This window comes from Homo sapiens, chromosome 18 (genome assembly GCF_000001405.40).
Source record: "Homo sapiens chromosome 18, GRCh38.p14 Primary Assembly".
Taxonomy (NCBI): Eukaryota; Metazoa; Chordata; class Mammalia; order Primates; family Hominidae; genus Homo; species Homo sapiens.
The window spans coordinates 24,691,336-24,715,352 of record NC_000018.10 but is presented as its reverse complement, the minus strand read 5'-3'; positions in this window follow the sequence as shown (position 1 = coordinate 24,715,352).

Here is a 24,017-nt window from a genome sequence, read left to right as displayed (position 1 = left end):
ATTCAGGAAATACAGAGAACGCCACAAAGATACTCCTCGAGAAGAGCAACTCCAAGACACATAATTGTCAGATTCACCAAAGTTGAAATGAAGGAAAAAATGTTAAGGGCAGCCAGAGAGAAAGGTCGGGTTACCCTCAAAGGGAAGCCCATCAGACTAACAGCAGATCTCTCAGCAGAAACCCTACAAGCCAGAAGAGAGTGGGGGCCAATATTCAACATTCTTAAGGAAAAGAATTTTCAACCCAGAATTTCATATCCAGCCAAACTAAGCGTCATAAGCGAAGGAGAAATAAAATACTTTACAGACAAGCAAATGCTGAGAGATTTTGTCACCACCAGGCCTGCCCTAAAAGAGCTCCTGAAGGAAGCGCTAAACATGGAAAGGAACAACCGGTACCAGCCACTGCAAAATCATGCCAAAATGTAAAGACCATCGAGACTAGGAAGAAACTGCATCAACTAACGAGCAAAATAACCAGCTAACATCATAATGACAGGATCAAATTCACACATAACAATATTAACTTTAAATGTAAATGGACTAAATGTTCCAATTAAAAGACACAGACTGGCAAATTGGATAAAGAGTCAAGACCCATCAGTATGCTGTATTCAGTAAACCCATCTCACGTGCAGAGACACACATAGGCTCAAAATAAAAGGATGGAGGAAGATCTACCAAGCAAATGGAAAACAAAAAAAGGCAGGGGTTGCAATCCTAGCCTCTGATAAAACAGACTTTAAACCAACAAAGATCAAAAGAGACAAAGAAGGCCATTACATAATGGTAAAGGGATCAATTCAACAAGAAGAGCTAACTACCCTAAATATATATGCACCCAATACAGGAGCACCAAGATTCATAAAGCAAGTCCTGAGTGATCTACAAAGATACTTAGACTCCCACACATTAATAATGGGAGACTTTAACACCCCACTGTCAACATTAGACAGATCAACGAGACAGAAAGTCAACAAGGATACCCAGGAATTGAACTCAGCTCTGCACCAAGCAGACCTAATAGACATCTACAGAACTCTCCACCCCAAATCAACAGAATATACATTTTTTTCAGCACCACACCACACCTATTCCAAAATTGACCACATACTTGGAAGTAAAGCTCTCCTCAGCAAATGTAAAAGAACAGAAATTAGAACAAACTATCTCTCAGACCACAGTGCAATCAAACTAGAACTCAGGATTAAGAATCTCACTCAAAACCGCTCAACTACATGGAAACTGAACAACCTGCTCCTGAATGACTACTGGGTGCATAACGAAATGAAGGCAGAAATAAAGATGTTCTTTGAAACCAATGAGAACAAAGACACAACATACCAGAATCTCTGGGACGCATTCAAAACAGTGTATAGAGGGAAATTTATAGCACTAAATGCCCACAAGAGAAAGCAGGAAAGATCCAAAATTGACACCCTAACATCACAATTAAAAGAACTAGAAAAGCAAGAGCAAACACATTCAAAAGCTAGCAGAAGGCAAGAAATAACTAAGATCAGAGCAGAACTGAAGGAAATAGAGACACAAAAAACCCTTCAAAGAATTAATGAATCCAGGAGCTGGGTTTTTGAAAGGATCAACAAAATTGATAGACCGCTAGCAAGACTAATAAAGAAAAAAAGAGAGAAGAATCTAATAGACACAATAAAAAAATGATAAAGGGGATATTACCACCGATCCCACAGAAATACAAACTACCATCAGATAATACTACAAACACCTCTACGCAAATAAACTAAAAAATCTGGAAGAAATGGATAAATTCCTCGACACATACACTCTCCCAAGACTAAACCAGGAAGAAGTTGAATCTCTGAATAGACCAATAACAGGATCTGAAATTGTGGCAATAATCAATAGCTTACCAACCAAAAAGAGTCCAGGACCAGATGGATTCACAGCTGAATTCTACCAGAGGTACAAGGAGGAACTGGTACCATTCCTTCTGAAACTATTCCAATCAATAGAAAAAGAGGGAATCCTCCCTAACTCATTTTATGAGGCCAGCATCATTCTGATACCAAAGCCGGGCAGAGACACAACAAAAAAAGAGAATTTTAGACCAATATCCTTGATGAACATTGATGCAAAAATCCTCAATAAAATACTGGCAAACCGAATCCAGCAGCACATCAAAAAGCTTATCCACCATGATCAAGTGGGCTTCATCCCTGGGATGCAAGGCTGGTTCAATATACGCAAATCAATAAATGTAATCCAGCATATAAACAGAGCCAAAGACAAAAACCACATGATTATCTCAATAGATGCAGAAAAAGCCTTTGACAAAATTCAACAACCCTTCATGCTAAAAACTCTCAATAAATTAGGTATTGATGGGATGTATTTCAAAATAATAAGAGCTATCTATGACAAACCCACAGCCAATATCATACTGAATGGGCAAAAACTGGAAGCATTCCCTTTGAAAACTGGCACAAGACAGGGATGCCCTCTCTCACCTCTCCTATTCAACATAGTGTTGGAAGTTCTGGCCAGGACAATTAGGCAGGAGAAGGAAATAAAGGGTATTCAATTAGGAAAAGAGGAAGTCAAATTGTCCCTATTTGCAGATGACATGATTGTATATCTAGAAAACCCCATTGTCTCAGCCCAAAATCTCCTTAAGCTGATAAGCAACTCCAGCAAAGTCTCAGGATACAAAATCAATGTAAAAAATCACAAGCATTCTTATACACCAACAACAGACAAACAGAGAGCCAAATCATGAGTGAACTCCCATTCACAATTGCTTCAAAGAGAATAAAATACCTAGGAATCCAACTTACAAGGGATGTGAAGGACCTCTTCAAGGAGAACTACAAACCACTGCTCAAGGAAATAAAAGAGGATACAAACAAATGGAAGAACATTCCATGCTCATGGGTAGGAAGAATCAATATCGTGAAAATGGCCATACTGCCCAAGGTAATTTACAGATTCAATGCCATCCCCATCAAGCTACCAATGCCTTTCTTCACAGAACTGGAAAAAACTACTTTAAAGTTCATATGGAACCAAAAAAGAGCCCGCATTGCCAAGTCAATCCTAAGCCAAAAGAACAAAGCTGGAGGCATCACACTACCTGACTTCAAACTATACTACAAGACTACAGTAACCAAAACAGCATGGTACTGGTACCAAAACAGAGATATAGATCAATGGAACAGAACAGAGCCCTCAGAAATAACGCCGCATATCTACAACTATCTGATCTTTGACAAACCTGAGAAAAACAAGCAATGGGGAAAGGATTCCCTATTTAATAAATGGTGCTGGGAAAACTGGCTAGCCATATGTAGAAAGCTGAAACTGGATCCCTTCCTTACACTTTATACAAAAATCAATTCAAGATGGATTAAAGATTTAAACGTTAGACCTAAAACCATAAAAACCCTAGAAGAAAACCTAGGCATTACCATTCAGGACATAGGCATGGGCAAGGACTTCATGTCTAAAACACCAAAAGCAATGGCAACAAAAGCCAAAATTGACAAATGGGATCTAATTAAACTAAAGAGCTTCTGCACAGCAAAAGAAACTACCATCAGAGTGAACAGGCAACCTACAACATGGGAGAAAATTTTCGCAACCTACTCATCTGACAAAGGGCTAATATCCAGAATCTACAATGACCTCAAACAAATTTACAAGAAAAAAACAAACAACCCCATCAAAAAGTGGGCAAAGGACATGAACAGACACTTCTCAAAAGAAGACATTTATGCAGCCAAAAAACACATGAAAAAATGCTCATCATCACTGACCATCAGAGAAATGCAAATCAAAACCACAATGAGATACCATCTCACACCAGTTAGAATGGCAATCATTAAAAAGTCAGGAAACAACAGGTGCTGGAGAGGATGTGGAGAAATAGGAACACTTTTACACTGTTGGTGGGACTGTAAACTAGTTCAACCATTGTGGAAGTCAGTGTGGCAATTCCTCAGGGATCTAGAACTGGAAATACCATTTGACCCAGCCATCCCATTAATGGGTATATACCCAAAGGACTATAAATCATGCTGCTATAAAGACACATGCACACGTATGTTTATTGCGGCATTATTCACAATAGCAAAGACTTGGAACCAACCCAAATGTCCAACAATGATAGACTGGATTAAGAAAATGTGGCACATATACACCATGGAGTACTATGCAGCCATAAAAAATGATGAGTTCATGTCCTTTGTAGGGACATGGATGAAATTGGAAAACATCATTCTCAGTAAACTATCGCAAGAACAAAAAACCAAACACTGCATATTCTCACTCATAGGTGGGAATTGAACAATGAGATCACATGGACACAGGAAGGGGAATATCACACTCTGGGGACTGTGGTGGGGTGGGGGGAGGGGGGAGGGATAGCATTGGGAGATATACCTAATGCTAGATGACGAGTTAGTGGGTGCAGTGCACCAGCATGGCACATATATACATATGTAACTAACCTGCACAATGTGCACATGTACCCTAAAACTTAAAGTATAATTAAAAAAAAAAAAAAGAAAGACACCACTATGAAATTATTGAAATGGCTAAAATCAAACAGACTGACACTACCAAGTGTTGACAAGGAAGTAGAGAAACTGGAAACTGCACACATTGTTGGTGAGAATGAAATGTAATGGTCTGTTTAGAAAACAGTTCAGCAGTTTAGCAAGGTGTTTCCATATGACTCAGCAATTTCACCTTGAGCAATTTCATTGAGTTATCTACTAAAGAGAAATGAAAATATGTCCACAAGAAGATTGTTCATACTAGCATTATTCATAATAGCTAGACACTGAAAACCATCCAAACTGCTATCAATTAGTGAAAGGATTAACCAAATCTGGTATTCATACAATGGAATAAATAAAAAGGAACAAAATACTGGTAACATTCAACAACATGGCTAGACCTCAAAACACCTGTGCTACTTGAAAGAAGCCAGAGAGTAATGGCTATGTATTATATAATTTCATTTATATAAAATGTCTAGAAAAGGGAAACTACATAACAGAAAAAAAGATTGATGGATGCATGAAACTGGGTAGACTGCAAAAATCCACACAGGAACTTTCAGGATGATGAAAATGTTTTAAAACTGGATCATGGTAATGACTGCATAACTGTGTGAATTTACCTACATTTGTATAACTTCTATCCACTTACAGTGAGTGCATTTCATGGTATTTAAATCATTCCTCAATAAAAGTTCTTAAAAACAGATTTGATCCCTGCCTCTTGGAATTTGTAATCCATGCCACGTTCTTTCTAGATCATCCCACTTCTTAATCATAACAATATTGAAACTATCCAGGTAGCCAAGTTTCACACAGAATCTCTGATATCCTTAATGTCCCATAAAAGGAGAAAGTTTTCACTCTATCTTCTCCAACCATGCTAGTTTCCATACTTCCTCAATACATGTATGTTGGCTAAGCACTTTGGGAGGCCCAGGCGGGCGGGTCACTTGAGGTCAGGAGTTCGAGACCAGCCTGGCCAGTATGGTGAAACCCCATCTCTACTAAAAATACAAAAATTAGCCGGCGTGGTGACACATGCCTGTAGTCCTAGCTACTTGGGAGGCTGAGGCAGAAGAATCACTTGAACCCGGGAGGCAGAGGTTGCAGTGAGCCCAGATTGCACCACTATACTCCAGCCTGGGCAACAGAGTGAGACTCTGTCTCAAAAAAAAAAAGAAAAAAAGAAAGAAAGAAAAAACATGCATTTTGGCTGAATGAAAAAAATGGCTAAAATAATAGTGATAATTTTAAAATAAATCTACAGAAATCTTTCTCATTTCTGAAATATAAGTAGATTCTCTAGAGAAGTCGTTTTCAACTACAGGCCATTTTGACCCCCAGCACTCCAAATACTCAGCAATACCTGGAGACATTTTCGGTGGAGACATTTTGATACGGGAGAGTGCTGCTGGCAGCTAGTGGGTAGGGGCCAGAACTTTCACTAAACCCACAATGTACAGGACAGCCACTCACTAAAGAATTACCTGGCCCAAAATGTCAATAGTGTGAAGGTTGAGAAACTCTGCTCTAGACTGATCTACTGGCCCTTTCAGAGCTTGCTCCTTAATCTACATATCACATTTCAGCTGTTTACATTCTGTTGTCTCCCGCAGATTGTGACTCTCCAAGGACTTTACCTGTGTGTGTTTTCTTTGGGGTGTTTGGCATGATGCCCAAAACGTAATAGGTGCTCTATAAGTGATTAATGAAAAAATAAGTAAAAGAATTTTTAAAAAGTGTGATCAAATATAAGGACGCTATTTTTAGAAGAGATGTGCTATTTCAATCATTATTTGTTGAACACCTGTTATGGCTTTATGTTATGATATTAAAACAAAAATAATTCCTCAAATAAATATGTTATTCTACACCTTTTTTTAAGATGGAAAAAATGACAAAATATTTTAAGAAGTATATGTCACATCTCTAAAAGAATTATGAAATACTGAGCTAATTTCTGAGTTTACCTTCCACAGCTAGAAATATCAATCTCTGTTTTTACATAGGAAAAACTGATTTTGTATATCTCCCTTCCCAATTGTGTGTTCACAAGTTAATACTGTTTTTATCAATAATAGTCATTCTCATTACCCAGTATATGGCATTCTCATCTTTAAAGGTCTTTGCAGAATCTATTAGTTACCATTAATTATTAACGCTATGCCATTTAAATATAGGCATTTCATTTTAAAGTGACACTTTCCATTCTCATATTATAATAAAAGAAATGAAACTGGCTATTTTTTTTTTTTTTTTTTTTTTTTTGAGACGGAGTCTCACTCTGTCACCCAGGGTGGAGTGCAGTGGCGCGATCTCGGCTCACTGCAACCTCCGCCTCCCGGGTTCACGCCATTCTCTTGCCTCAGCCTCCCCGGTAGCTGCGACTACAGGCCCCTGCCACCACGCCCGGCTAATTTTGTTTTTGTATTTTTAGTAGAGGCGGGATTTCACTGTGTTAGCCAGGATGGTCTCGATCTCCTGACCTCGTGATCTGCCCGCCTCAGCCTCCCAAAGTACTGAGATTACAGGAGTGAGCCACCGTGCCTGGCCCACCAGCTAATATTTTTATAACTTTTCTTCAACACTCTGCCCCCCACCCCCATCCCAATCCTGGATAAGTCAGAGTATTCTAATGAGGATATATAATTGTAGTGATAATTATAGACATAAATAATTATAGATAGATAATAGACACATACTTACAGGTGTAAGATATATATGCTTATGTATTTACGTATAGCTGTATATAAAAGTATGTACCTATCTCTATTAATTTATGTATCCTTATCTTGTTTCCCTACATGCATACATATATTAGTAGCACTCTAATGTCTATGACACAGTCTCACCTCTTCACGCTTACATTTAAGCACTGCCACAGTTTGATCAATATCTGGTTCCAATCTAATATAACACTGACTCAGAAATTATCTGCTTAAGACATACTGAACTAATCATGTCCCTCAAAGAGGAGGGCCTTCTGAAAGACTTGCTTCCATAACCCCATATCTTTATGCCCTCTCAGAATAAAAAAAAAAAATGTGATAGATAAAAAATGGAATAGGGCCAGGCTCGGTGACTCATGCCTGTAATCCCAGCACTTTGGGTGGATCACGAGGTCAGGAGTTCAAGACCAGCCTGGCCAACATGGTGAAACCCCCTTCTCTACTAAAAATAGAAAAATTAGTCGAGCATGGTGGCAGGCACCTGTAATCCCAGCTACTCATGAGGCTGAGACAGGAGAATTGCTTCAACTCAGGAAGCAGAGGTTGCAGTGAGCCAAGATCATGCCACTGCACTCCAGCCTGGGCAACAGAACAAGACTCCGTCTGGGGAAAAAAAAAATATGGAATGGGGATCGTCTCCCTCTTTGAACTTATTTTCTAAAGAAAATAGCAACTTAATATCTACTGTCACAGAGGAAAATACAGGGAAAAAATTCTAAACCCATTTATGTCTTGCAATCTCCACCTCTCCTCCAGCAGTTTTATTCTACCTCTTGAATTGAATCTGGCACCCTTGGACTTTGGTTTTAGTATTACTGATTTGTCTATTCATTTATTAAATAATATTAAAGATATGCAAAAGAGTATACAGAATATTCAAGCAAGCATCATAATCCTACATTTATTTATACCTTTACTGCATTTATACTTATCCTTGGACAATGTTATGTATTGTGTTGCATGTTTGGTAACTTACATGAATTGTATCACATTGTATATAACATCCTGCAATTTACTTTGTGAAAGCATCATTATTCTTATAAATGCCTTCAAGATAGATAACATTTAGCTATAGTTTATTTGCTTTCACTGTTGTGTAGTACTCCTTTGTAAGAACATATGATTTTAGGTTATTTCCAATTTGGGCTATTATAAATAATGCTGCTGTAAAAATACTTACACATGTCTCCTTAGGTATGCAACTGTTACTTGAGGGCATGTGCCAATTTTTAAAATTATAAGTTAGGAAAATCTTCAGCTTTCTTTGGATAATTCCAACTGTTCTCCAAAATGGTTGTACATTCCTATGAACAGTATTTAAGATTACCTGATATTCTATCTCCAGCACTTAATATTGTCAAACTTATTCCCATGAAAATCGTAAAAATAATGAATCATTTTGGTCACATATGTCTACTTTGTATATGATAAATAAATTAAGCACATTCTATTATTTTTATTTAAATTTTTCATAATTGGAAGCTATTCCTGATCACAAGCTTGTCTCTTATTTTTATATAGACTTAACACTTACAGTTAGGAATTAGTGGGCTGTAAACTATTCATTTGTATTTTAGAACATGGCTTAATTCTGACCACAAAGCTATGAAACATAATTTTGTATAAGACTTGTCAAATGTACATCATTATTTTTGCATTTTCTGAGGATGATTAAATTAGTGATGATGAGGTGATATAGGTAAAACTAAATCTTTTCAACTAGAACATGCCAAAATGCAGCTATTTAATAATTGCTTCATAGGCAATCATCTCTGTCCTCCTATCTATAGGTTAAAGCCCAACTGCTTCAAACCATGTCAGTCTGTTCTAGTGTGGAAAAATCACAGAGGGCAACAATTTCATAGCTTAACCCTTTAATCCATTACAAACTCTTCTAGAATCCAAGATGTCTACATATTTAACTACACTTCACATTGCAGTTCAACCTCCTTTTCTTTTTAATGCCCCTTGTAAACAATGAAGAATGGTTTGTATCTGGTTATTAAAAGTTACTCAACTGCTAACATGAGAGTTTTGTAGTTTTGTTTTTAGTTGCCAACCCAGTGATGATGATGACTATGATAATAAAGAAGAATGCTTACTTGTAGAAGTGTGTTTGTTTGCACGTGCACACACAGAGAAGGAGATTGCCCTTTGTATTTGGAAACTAGAATGCTCCTTCTTCTACAAATATATTTTTAGATAAAGCAAAAATCCAGGTAAGGGCTGTTCATCCTCCCTGCAGTGGATTCTTGGGGAGATGCCTCCGTGCTTTGTGGCTGCAAACTGAAGAACAACAGTCTCATTCAACAGTCTTAGCTACAGGACAATCTTAGAGTGAGGTGACTGGAGATGTAATGCATCAGTTCTTGCTTGCAGCCTTCTACTCCTCTAAAACTCCTCCATCTCCCTTGGTTTTGAAGTTATGCCATCCAAGATCTAGAAAAAGAAGAACCAAATTGTGAAGAATGTTAAATGCCTGGAATGCCAGGAACCACAACATAATTCCCAAATGGTCTCATATAAACAGAAACCTGCTGCGTGTCCATTGGATTCTAAACTCCTTGAACTCAATAAGCCTGTCTTCATCCCTGCATTCGTGCAGCACCTCGCCAAGTATGTGACCCATAGCCAAGTATGTGACCCATAGCAAGCAGTCAATAAATATTTGAAAAGGATGAAGGCCGCTTACAGGGCCTGTTGCTATTTACAGGCTTGGTATGGGTCTGGATTTTTGTCCCTCCCTGAGCCACCCAGGACTTTTTGCTATAAATGAGCTGCTTCTCCCTGCCTGCTGCATGCCAGGTTTTTGTCCATCTGCTGCCATTGTTTCTCCACGTTTCACAGCTATGTTGTACTGCATGTGGGTATTCTTTAGTGGGTCATTATGGCATCTGTCTGCCCACCTTGTGAATGCCCCGTTTCGGTTCACCAGACAGCAGCTGCCTGCACCTCCTGCTCCCCTCCATCATCTGCCCAGGTCCAGCCCAGTCAAGCCTGGTTGCAGAAATCATCATTTCATTGCTTGGGGGTTGGCTGCACTCCAGAATCTGGTTACTGAGATCCTTGCTTACCATTTAATCTTCCTATAGGTAATTTTTTTAAAGCCAGATGTGTTACCCACAAGAAACTTCAGTTTCACAGATGTGAACAAGGATGCATACAATCATCACTACATATATCTTTATTAGTAGTAATTTTTTTAGTAGAAAGAGACCCTAGGAGCCACATTTATAGTAATAGAGGAAAGCTCTCATTATACAAAGAATAGACTTCCAGAAACCCTAACCCTCATTCAGAATTAATGTGAAAAGGAAAGAGGTTGCGCTGTCACAAAGCCCATCACTTTATTCTGCCTCCTTATGTAGAAGCTTCCCAGTGATTTGTAGCCATTGACATGAATGCAGTTACACACAGTTACATGCTAAAATCCAGAAGTTTGTACATTAAATTGATTTTGTTTGGAATTCAGGCTTCTGTTTCTATTGATAACTTTACTTGTCATAAAATTTAAGGCAGTAAAACTCTGGCTGTATATAGTGTATCCAAAAAATGAAAGTGTCCATCTCCTTTCCTATGAAGTAAAGTTCATGGCCTTTGTTACACCCATTTTCGCTTTTTTTTTTTTTTTTTTTTTTTTAAGACAGTCTCGCTCTGTTGCCCAGGCTGGAATGCAGTGGTGTGATCTCGGCTCACTGCAACCTCCATCTCCTGGGTTCCGGCGATTCTTCTGCCTCAGCCTCCCAAGTAGCTGGGACTACAGTTGTGTACCACCACGCCCAGCTAATTTTTGTATTTTTAGTAGAGATGGAGTTTCACCATATTCCCAGGCTGGTCTCAAACTCCCGACTTCATGATCTGCCCACCTCGGCCTCCCAAAGTGCTGGGATTCCAGGCATGAACCACCATGCCCTGCCAGCCATTTTCCTTTCTTTCCTCACTTCATTTTATATAAATCATATGATAAAAAGATAAGATTTTTAAGCCAACTGCAAAAGTATGTTTCGTATACAGTGTACCCAAATATTAGAATTATAAAATCTCATCAGCAGGAAGAACATTGTTACTTAGTGAAATTAGTGAAATTCATTCTAAGTACCATACCAAGGAGGCAAGACCTGCACTTCTTCTCCCCATCTTCCCTCCCTCAGTCTCCCCTCAGGTCATTGCAGAAGGTTCACTGAGAGAAAGAAGAGAGAAGAAAGAAGGCCAGGCAACCTTAGCGATGGAGTGAAGGTGAAGGAGTCCTGTCAGAGGAAGAAACAGAATCTCACCGTTTCCTGGGAGCTACTCTGGGCCAGACATTGTGCCGAGTCATTTTGCATATGGCATCTCACCTATCACCACCATACCCCATGAAGCAGATTTTATTATTTCCATTTTTCAAATGATAAGAACTGAGACTCAAAGAGGACAACATGCCCAAGATCAAGTAAGTCCTAAATTGTAGGAGTGGGACTGGAGAGAAGATCTGTTGAATCTCTGTTTGATGGTGACACAGTTGGCTCCTGGGAGTATTACAGGACTGCCAGGTTGTTATATCTGCTGTGCAGCAACAGACTAATACACTGAGACAGCAGGGTTTGCAGCAGAGAAAGAGTTTAATCATTGCAAGTCTGCCAAAGGAGGTAACAGGAGCGATTCTCAAGCCTCAAATCCATTTCATCAAAGGGTTCTGGGCAAGGGTCTCTAAGGAGATCATGGAGGGCAAGGAGCTAGAAAATTGGGGTCATTGTTTGGTCATGGTAAGGGGATGAAGTCAACAGGATGTGGAAACTGCATTCTTCCATGGGTCAGCTTCCTACTGGGCTCTTCAGACCAGCTGGCATGGGTAGTTTTGTTGGAATACAGAACTAAAGGAGAAACTCAAACAGAAAGCTTATCATCTCACAATGTCTTAGATTTTATCTATAGAACAAAGAATATTGTGACAAGGGCTACATTATCCTGGAGGTCTTCCTGGAGTAGTAAGTAGTAACCAGCTACAAGGAAGTGAGACAAAGGGCAAGCTGGCTTAATAATTACCTCTGATTGAGCTGCAAGCCTAGCTGAATTTTATTTTTTCCCTTAATCTATTTTATAAAATTTTCTTGGGGACGGTTTCAGGAGCACTACCTTCCAAGAGCCTGGAGCATGGGGTGTGCAGATCACCTGCATCAGAATTAGAGGTCAATAGAAAAGACTTGGAGATTTCACTCAAGGCAAAGCAGGAAATGCAGATCCACCAACTTTTTTCCTCATAAAGTATAAATAGTTAATTAAACCCTAGCTATTGTCAATAAGTAGGGAATGAGTAGGTTGAGTTTGAACTAGAGTTCTATGCCTCCTTTGACCTAGTTAAATAAGGCGACAGGATAAATTAGCTTCTAAAATCAAACACAGGAATAAAATGTGCTTTCTTATGCCATTTTAAAACAATTTTGGAGAATACACTTTTTAATTCTACATTTGGTTTCTTTACAAATATTATGACAACTGGCATTACATTTGGGAACTGAAACACTTTCCCCTTTCTCCACAACTTTCCTAAATTTTCATGCATTTTCTACTTCTGTGGCCACCATCCCCACGACTCATTTCTACCCAGCCCAGTCCTTTTTCATTCCTGTACTCACCATGCTATTCCTTGGTTTGAATGTAGTAATTTTAGTCCAAGAGAAAAAAAGCACTATATAAATAAATCTTTATTACTGTCATAGCATTGTTAAAGGATTTCCTAGTTTGAGCTGCTCTTCCTTTGAAATCACCACCTTACCAGGGCAGAGAGGATCCTGCTAGGCATTTTAAATTAGAGAAGACAGGTTTACTGTCAAGGCAGGTCAATCAAATTATAATTGGCTCTAATTTGCACTCCCACCAGCTGTTAAATTCTTCACCTGCAGCACTCAAAATGGTGTGAAATTCTTTTCGGCTTTGTGAAAGCTTCAAAGAGAATCACTCTCATTCTGGTCCCTAAAACCAAAAGTCTTTGTTACTTTTCATCAGAAGCGAGGAAAATGCACTTTTGACTCTGACTGTGGAAAACAAGGCTTGGTCTGAAGTGGTCTGAACCTGTCAGGGATGGATAAATCCATCTTCTATGAAAGATTGTCCTGGACAAGCCAACATTTCTACCACAAACCAGCGAAGGTAGACTTCGCTTTGTTATGGCCATAATGCCATTGAGTTGTATTTTCTATCTTATTGTTAATTGAATTTGCGGCTCTCAGGAGAATCGTAAATTTAACACTTAGAAGAAAATGGCAGACAAGGATAGAATTTTGAGATGGAACATACACATATGCTAGTTACGTTGTGAGTATCCATTATGCTTTGAGATATTGTCTGGTGCTGCTTCAGATATTTTGGGCGTCTGCATAACTAAAACAACTACAGGAATCTCCTTTCTAGCAGTGCCCACAAACACATATATACAACACACTACCTGTGGACACACGTATGTACACACATGTTGCCCCTCCAGGAAAAAGTGAAAAGCAACAACCAACTAAGAGATGGTGAAGGCTCATCTTGCTACTCTACCAGCGCCCTTTATAACATTGTTGAAGACAATTCTGAGCAAAACAGTAGACCCACTGATAGCAACAAAAGTAGGGAATGGCGAGATACGAAAGCAATATCAGAACCAAATAATCAACATAACTGTGATTTTGGATGAATTTTGAGTGTCAGTTTGGCTGCAGCTAAGGAAACTCTTTAATTTAAATGACTGCATGTAAGTTGTCCTACTCTTGCCAATGGTACAAACGATTCTCAACAATCTCAGAATGAGAGTCTTTGGGGATAATTGGTGGAGAGAAAATGTAATGAAGAACTAAAGGCTATTTGAAGAAATTGTTTTGGGTTTAGTGTGGGTTTAAGAAAACACAGGAAGAGGTTTTTAAAAATAAAATGAGGTCAGGAGTGGTGTCTCACATATGTAATCCCAGCACTTTGGGAGGCTGTGGGTAGATTGCTTGAGCTCAGGAGTTCAAGACGAGCCTGGATAACATGGTAAAACCCTGTCTCTACAAAAAATACAAAAATTACCCAGGCATGGTGGCATGCACCTGTAGTCACTGCTACTAGGGAGGCTGAGCTGGGAGGATCACTTGAGCCCAGGAGGCTGAGTTTTGCAATGAGCCAAGATTGCACCACTGCAATCCAGCCTGGGTGACAGAGTGAGACTCTGTCTCAAAAATAAAATCTAATAAAATATCACACAATAAATAAGAGAGATAACAACTTTTAGGTAAACTTTCTCAGAAAACAAGACTGGAACATAAATTTATATGAGGATAATCATAACAATATTATTTAACAGAGCAAAAAACTGGAAACCCAACTTTCTAATAATAAAGGATTAAATTATCTAAGGATTAATCTACTTAGTTAAATGATCTAAGGATTAATCATCTATTTTGTCCCTTAAAATTGAATAGCATTCAGCATTTAAGTGTTCTTCATGAAGAACTGTATTATACTGCATGAGAAAGTCTTCATAACACTGTTAAATGAAAATAGGATAGACTGTGCACAGTATAATCTCACTGATGTAACGATATATGTAGCATATACACATAGTAAAACCCCAAAAAATATTCAGCGAGAGTTGTTATTTCCAAGTGGTGAGTTTACAGGCAATTTTTATTTTTATTTTTTTTTTGTTTTTCCCTACTTTCCAAATTTTACATACTGAATTTTTTGAGATTTTTTATAAACAACAACGAAAACCAATAAATACTTGCAATCAATATAAACTTGGGGTGCAATGCTTAGGTACAAAAAGTACCATGTTTTTATTTCTCTAAATCAAATGAAATCTCTGCAGCCCAGTGTCTCAGAACAGGCAAGTTCCCCCGCAATGGTCATTACTGGGGCTTTCTTGTACTTCAATGGAGTCAGGAATTGAAAATGGATATAGAAAATCTGGGAAGGACCCAGACCTTCAGTGCATAGTTTCCCATCTTTCCCATCATCCTTTTAGTACCCAGACATGCTTATGCAGAGGTGCTGTGCTCTGGTACTAAAGCCGCAAGGCTGTCCTCCTGTGATCCCCTCTATGACCGCAGAATGGACCACACAAATCCTGTGACTCCACTCAAGACTCCATCATCACTTGGTGGCTGTAGTCCTCCTGCCCCAAGCAAGGACATGGCTTTGAGCAGAGCACAGTTCTCTACAACTTGTGGAACTCCCTCCCTTACCCTACCCCCATCCCCATCCCCATTCCCACCCCAAAAAATGTCTCTTAATCTCCAGAAATCTGCCCACTCTAATAAACACTCCTTCATCCACCTAAATGCTTCCTGCAATTTCTTCCTTGTCATTGGCCTGGTCTTCCAAACAAGTTATGGTCAGTATGGACCCCAAAAGCAACACCCGAGGAATGGTTATTACATATATATGCACATATATGTAGAACTTCCCAAGCATTACCTTTTTTTTCCCTCCTAACAAACCTATGAGATAGCATCATAATTATTCCTATTTTCCAGATGGGAACATTTGAGGCTCAGAGAGATAAACTCACTCTCCAAGTCACACCACTTTCATATACAACTTCTCCTTTTGGTTCTGGCACAAAAAGCCCTTAGCAAATCCCTAAGGCTAGTGGCTCAAAACGCAGAATAAAAATTGGCTTCCTTCTTAGGAGGAAAACAGGAGAAACACTGATAATTCCATCAAGCTCCTTCTAGGGCTGAAGGCAAAGGCATAAATAATATCTCAGCACTTTAGACTGCTATCCATTCTTAAGACCAAGAACAAAAAGAAGATAAAGGAAAAGAATGGAAAGCTGTAATATGCTGATTGATAACAACTGCTTCATCCAGAGAAAGTGAACAAGGAGACTCAATGTGCCCCGGCCAGGAAGAAATCCACAGAGACTGTGGGGAGAAGAACATTTGGAAATTTTATTTTGGACAATTTATCATCAGGGTCCAGTACTGTGGTGGACACATAATAGGTGGGTAGTAAGTATTTATTGGGTGAACAAGTAAGTGTGCTCTAACAAATTGGTGTGAGACTGTCACAGAAACTCCATCCTCTACTGATCCCAATCCCAATTCATATCCTCCTCTCTGGCTGGTTCCCAGCAGAAAGAGTACCTGCAGAGTCATGGTGTGTATGCCCCAAACAGCAGCCCTATGCCCACCAACTCCCTTTACCACAAGAAAAAGAGGCAGGCTCTTATCTTTTTGCCCAAATGGTGTCTATACCAGTTTTTCAGGGCTGCCATCACAAAATACCACAGACCAAGTAGCTTAAACAACAGAAATTTATTCCCCATGGTGTTGGCAAGGTGGATTTCTCGTGAGGCCTCTCTCCTCCTTGGCTTGCAGATGGCCACCTTCTCCGTGTCTTTACATGGTCTTCCCTCTGTGGGTGTCTGTGTCTTAATCTCTTCTTATAAGGACATCACCATATTGGATTAGGGCACAGCCTAACGAACTTCTCTTACCTTAGTTGCCTCTTTAAAGACCCTATCTCCAAATACAGTCACATTCTGAGGTATGGGGGCAGGGGGCTAGAATTTCAACATATCTATATGAGGGAGGGGGAAATCACAATGTAGCCCATAACATTATTTAATATTAGTTTAGTTTCTCTGAGACAAAGTCTGGTTTCCCTTTTAATATACTCTGAGGATCAACACGACACTTGGAATATGCTACTTCCCTCTGCCTTCACAAGTACATAACTGAACATTAGTGTTTCATGTAGTAAAAGTCAACCCTGTTCACTAAACACTCGCTGTTTGCTCAGAACTGTTCTGTACTATGGGAGCTGCATGGAAAGTTGAACACTTGATTCCTGGACCAGAACTTTGCAACCAGAGACAGGAGATCAGAAGAATGCAGCACATGCCGAGGAACCCATAGTCACAATTCACCCAAGTTTGCTCAGAAAGACAACACAAAGCCCTGGGGATGGAATGACAATGGGTTTTAGTCTACTATGGCCTTATTTCAGCTGTGTAACCGTGGACAAATGGCTGGGTCTTTCTGTGCCTCCGTTTTCTTATCTATAAAATGGCAATAATAGTAGGAACGACAGAGGGTTGTGGTGAGGATTAAATGAAATAATACGTATAAAGCAGTTAATGCAGTACTCGGCCCACTGTAGTCACTCAGGAAATGTTAGCATTTGTATTGGTGTTCCTGTGGTAGCCCATACCTGTGCTCAATTTCAAGGACTCAAGAGTCTAACTACTGAGTTAGAGAGGTCAGTCCTAGAAAGAGAGAGAGAGAGGGAAAAACAGTCTTTGAGCAAGTTTTTAAGGCAAACTAGTTTTCCAGGAAGAAGCTGACACTGAACGATGGTGCCAATGATGGAGGAACGTGGATGTAACTAAGGGAGGTAGGGGTGTAGGGAGCAGGAAATTGTCTTGGAGAACTGGATTTGAGGCCACACATGATTTGGTAAATGCCAGCCTGGGAAGCTCCATTTTCTCAGCCCAAGACCCTGGTTTGCCATTTCCTACATTCTCATTCCCTCTTCCATAGCCAGACATATGGGAAATGATATTCACTTGGAAATCAGGACCAGGGATCAAATCTTGCTCCATCTCCTTCTGTGATTTTAGTCAAATTATTGAAGTTTTCTGAACATCAGTTTCCCCCCTACACAATGGGAAACTAAAGCCAGCAATCCGGACAGTGTGTATTAAGTGTCTGCAGCAAAACAAACTCTGATGTTTGGCTCCCTTTCCCCATCTGCTTTAAATACAATTAGCAGGATTGAAGTGTTTCTGTTCCCAATACATACAACCTGAGCTCCATGTACTGCTCCCATGTATTTCTTTGCAGACAGCACAATTATCAGATTCAGTGGAATCAGTTAAACCTCTAAGACTCCAAAAGGAGGTTTTCAAGAAGCCCCCTTTTGAATCATTATTTCAAACACTTTGCCAAATAGCCAGGAAATCACGAAGGGTTTATCAGTATCTGTCAGTGTGGTAAATAGTCAGATGAAGTTTGCCTCTGAAGTACTAGATGACAGCTGATCAATACTCTAATGAAAAAGACCAAGGTGACAAAATTTTAAAAGGGAAATATATCAAAAGACTGGTATGTCTTACACAGTCTTCGAGGAAGAAATGAAAGAGGTAGAAAAAATTAACTACATACATTTGCAATGCTTTATAACTTGCAAAATATTTTCACATATAACATTTTATTAATTCTTACAAAAATACAACCAAATACTTAAATTACTGCATGATGAGAACTATTAGTAGATCAAGTATTGTTAAACCAAAATGCATGTGCCTGGGCGTCTTTAAAAGAGCATTTCTCAACCTGGACTCAGGGATCCTGAGAACATGTAACAATCTTTGTAGTCTTATTTGTGCTTTTTTAAATGTCATGTTTTCATTCTGATGATTATCTAAAAAAATTAACCCATGTAAAACCTGGATCATGTGAATAAGTAATTTATAATTGAGTACAACTATGAGATTTCAGAATCTCACTGGCATTGGAGAATTCTTCTTGGTAAATTCTTGTTGATGAGCTAAAGAGAAAAAAATTGAGATGTCCTTGGTAAGCATATGTCTGTTTTCATGCTGCTGATAAAGACATACCTGAGACTGGGAAGAAAAAGAGGTTTAATGGACTTAACATTCCACATGGCTTGGGAGGCCTCACAATCATGGTGGAAGGCAAGGAGGAGCAAGTCACATCTTACATGGATGGCAACAGGCAAACAGAGAGAGTTTATGCAGGGGAACTCCTCTTTTTAAAACCATCAGATCTCATGAGGCTTATTCACTATCACAAGAACAACATGGGAAAGACCTGCCCCCATGATTCAGTTACCTCCCACCAGGTCCCTCCTACAACACGTGGGAATTCAAGATAAGATTTGGGTAGGGACACAGCCAAACCATAACAGCATATGATGTGTTCATGCCACTCAAAGACCAACAGACATGCAAAGGAAGTTTGTTCAGGAGTGCCACTAGAGAAAATGATAATGAAACTGAGCCATCACATAGCACTCACTGGTAAATACTTGCCAGATACAGATACCTATGCTATGGCCATCAGCACCATAGTTATTTTTACAAAGAGTACTTCCTTCCACTTAAAAAAAAATTATCCACTACATCAAGGTAAAGATTGTATTTTGAATTTCATTTTTGGAAAGATTTTTTTGGGAGTATATAGTTTGAAATTTTCTATTTGTTCTAAGCTTCTGCAAGGATTATAAGCATAAAAATGTATACCAATTTTGACTTTGTATATTTAAAATTACTTTATTATATACTTATATTTATTGTATAATCATTTTATATTTTAAGTTATTTTCTTGTAATCTCACATAAAAATTGAGTAAGAAATGGGTATCAGCAAGTTTGAAGACATTGCTTTTTGAAATAGAAATGTTTCTCAAACTTGTTTGTAAATTTTTTAAATTAAATCTCTTGTGGTGACCTAGAAGAGATGATTAAAAGAATTTTGTGAATTCTTTTTTAAGTGAGTAATCTTTTTGCACTTGAACCATCACCAGGTGGTCTTGTCTACTTTCTATGTTTAGATTGTCATATAACCATATTTTCCTGAAGTGGTACATCTGACACAGTGAAATTAGTGAAAGGAGAATCAGGAGAGAGACAGCCAAATCCAGAGGAAAATGCCCATGACATATTGTGAAAGCTGAATATACGATCAGCCTATAAGTTAAAGAACCACAACTGAAACCCAATACCAAGGCATGCAGGAATGGAAAAACAGAAGAATGTTGCCAGGGTAACTGGCTCTGTATCTGGCGCTCTTCGTGACTTCCTCCATGACTCTGAATAATGTTCTTATTATTGCCTACCTCCTTTTTTTGCCAGTTACAAAATGGGGGCCAAGAATATTAGTTTGTAAAGTGTTTTGTGAATCATAGATGCCCAGTATTCTCAAGCATAAAGATCTTCAAGATGTGCAATTTATGAGTCTTTGAAAGTTATTTGTGCACCATGTCTTGCCATTTTCTTTCTTTTCATTTCACCTCCAATCACTTTACTGCTCTTATGTGAAACAGATGGAATAGAATAAATAGTACTCCAGTTAGGGGGTGTGTTTGATTTCCTACTAAAAGAATAGTACTTACGGGAACTGAAGGATGTCTTCTCATTTTGTCCCAGGATAAAATGCACAAAGGAAGGGCGTGTCAGCTGTCAGCTTCTAACTAGAGTTGGAAGGAAAAAAAGTGAAAGTTCATAGGAAAAGAGAAGTGAATTTAGGTGACTTCCATAGCCCAAGAACTTTTATTTCGGTTTAATAAAAATTGTGCACACTGTTGCAACTGCTCTCTGGACTGGATCCTCTTTGCTTTTTGTTTAGAAACAAATAAAAATAGCTAAATTATTAATGCGAAGTAAATTGGTTACTATGCATTTAGCATCACTTTTTAATTCACACATACATCTGTATTAACATCTTAATGGTGCTTTACTACAGATTACGCCATAGTCATAATGGCAGCAAAGGAACCATCTAAAGGACAATGTTTGTAGCAGAAACATATTTGAAGAAGGGGATGATGTTGTTGGGGAATGTCCAAATAAAGTTGGAAAATGCACCTGTGAGGTCAGGGAGTACAGTCCACAAGACTTCCCTCACTCCTGACACCAACAGTAGAGTTCAGGGGTTCCCAAGACCACCCTCAGTTTCAACAATTCAATAGAAGAACTTGCTGACAGCTGTAATAATCTGGTTGTGGTTTATCACAGTGAAAGGATACAAATTCAAATCAGCCAAGGGAAGAGATATGTGGGGCAGAGTCCAGGAGGTTTGTCCACACGGAGCTTCCAGTTGTCTTCTCCCCATAGCATTCTGGATGATGTTAATATTCCTGAAAATAACATATGACATTGTGCATGGAATACCACCAGCCAGGGAAGCTACCCTGAGCTCTGGTGTCCAGAGTTTTTATTGCAGACATGGCTAACTGCACACATAGCTGACCTTTAGTTTCCAGCCTCTCCAGAGGTCGAGATGATACCTTTAGTCTCCAGCCCTTCTGGAGGCTTTCCTGTGGTAGAGCAGATACCATGTGAGCCAAAGTCCCCATCATAAATTACACTGTTAGACTGTCTGTTGTGGTCCAATGCCTCCTGTCATAAATTCTAACTAAATCTCCCAATACAGTTGATCATCAATATCAGTGTTATCATAAGACCTATTTACATAAGGTAATTGAGTCTTACCAGCAGTGCCAATGTTATACCATATCACAGTATGACCATGGTACAGTTCAGCTTTATTACAGAACAAATCACTAAGAATTACAGACATATTTGCTATCCCTTCACGAGATAATCAACCTTGCCCATATACCATATATTACTATGAATAGGCACCATGACAATTAGTCATGATTGGTTATTCTATGGTCCAAGTCAGTTACAGACAAAACCATTCACCCTGTCTCAGTTCACAGGCTTGTACTAAGACCAGTTTTTATTCTGTGCTGTCACATAGCAGGGCTCACCTCCCTGCTACAGGGAGGACATGGTAATATTCAGAACAGTTCCTCCCTCTGATAACTGTACTTTACGATATGTCTTGTTTTGATCTATCCTAGAGCAAGGGCAGTCACATTGCTTCAGTGTAAATTGCAAGTGTTCCTAGAGGACTCCCATAGGTGAAGAGCCATAAGATTCCCATACGTGTGCCTCGCGGGCCTCAACAGCTAGAATGGAGGGCTATTGTTCCATGGCTACTTCAGTCCCTGTCAGTATTAAAATAATGAAGAGACCCTGTTGTGCCTGAGTACAAGGCTTTCCCAACACTGGGTCCTAGCATTATCCAGCATTATTTGTGAGTTGGCCTGTCCTACTTCACTAAAGCCTCATCACCTGTCCAGGCTGACTGTCATTTCTTGCATTCCTCCTGGAATGGAATTCCCTTTAATCTGCTCATTCTAGTTAATAAGTCTTTTTCTCCAAATGCCACTCCTCACTAAAAGCAAATTCAGCTCATCCAATGAAGCCTCAACTAGAAGATGTCTCCCCTAAAGCATGTTTCTGTCTCACAGGCCAGTGCTGTGTTCTACCATTCATGTTGTTGCCATTGGGTACTAACAGCCTGAGTGCAACTAAAATACACATTTTGTACCCAAAATGCTGAGTCCACCATACAAGATACAGGTAGACATAATTTAGTTTCTGTATACCAGGCCTGCTATAGCCTTCTTCAACTCAGGGTGGGGCTATTCCCAGAGGAAGTCAGAATCACTACGTGGTACCTACTGCTCTAATCCCATCAGGAACCCACTGGTCTTTCCTATTCTGTTTAATAGCTTGCCATCCACAAAAACAAAGGTGATGTATATTTGTGCATAGCATACTATGGAATATTGGGCATGCCACTGCTACATCTTATTCATTATAATCAGGAAACTTTCTGAGCATGGGATCATCCAGGTTTATCTTTACCCAATAATCCATCAGCTAGGAGTTGTTTACCACATGGTCCAATGGCTCTCTTGGGAGCAGTTTCAAGAAATTCCTTCCCAAGTGATATCCTTTGTAGTAGATAAAACCTGAAAAATAAGGGTCAGAGGTATTGACTTATTACTAGAGCTCTACTCACTCATTAACCATTCCTCCAGTTCATCATATTGTATGACCAGCATGTCTCCCAGGGCAGCGCTACTCAGGTTTGCCGGCTTCTATTCCATCTTGTCAGGTTCCAGAAGCAAGATGAATGTGACAAATACATAACTTCACCCGTGTGGGTATCTAGTATAATTGTGCTAAGAGATAATATTATTCTCTTCCTCTGAGCCTCTCTTAAGGCACCAATGTAAAATTGGATTTTCCTCGTTGCAATAACCCATTTATTCATTCCTTTATCCCCAACTGCTAGTTCTTGTTCTCTCCATTTGTGGTTTATTCTTACTCAAACTTTCCTCCTCTGGAAGGGATGTCCGGGGACAAGAAATGTAACCACTTTACATAATATCCATTCAAACATTTCCATTTTAATCCAATCTTCACCTTAATCCCATCAAACACTGCATCCCCATATCCTCTCATTTGACTGTAGATTCCATTACGACTTCACCAACAGGTTTTGGAATCCTAGAGCATTGGGATCCCATGTCAAGAAGCCCTAGAAAATTCTTTTCTCCCTTGACCCCACAGGTCATTTTACCCATACATGTACATTTGCCCTTGGGTTCTCAGATGGGGATTGAGCCAGAGGATCCTGGCCCCTCTGTCAATTTTCATCTTTATTAATGTGGCAGACCATCTCTCCAGGTGATTCGAAATCAAGTTTCTCATTGTCATCTTTCCCTTCCAGCTTTTCAAATACCTCCAAAATGGAGTAAAAAGAGCAGATTTGTTTGGGGTCTTTTAATGTTGGGGGACCAGCAGGGGGGCCCATTGGTCCAGCCAACCTCCAGTAGTGCTACATTAAGACCTCTGTTTCAACCCATTACTATCTGCTTTATTCATCCCATTTCTTAACAACCATCTAAAGATTACCAACCTGCAAGGTTGACTCTCCTGACTCTCCTTTTTGTCTTTCCCCATTTTCTTCTGACTAACTCTAATTTTTTTGGCATCTGTAAAACCCATAAGGAAACTAAGACAATAAATGTGATGAAGCTTCGCAAACTATTCTTCATATTGCAGCTATAATGTTATATGGGGTACTGATGCAAAGGTAGCTACCTTAATCACAGCATTTACCATGTCTTGGGTAAGGGGCATATTCTGTAGATGAATATCCAGATTATCATAAAGTCAATCCAACATGGCTTG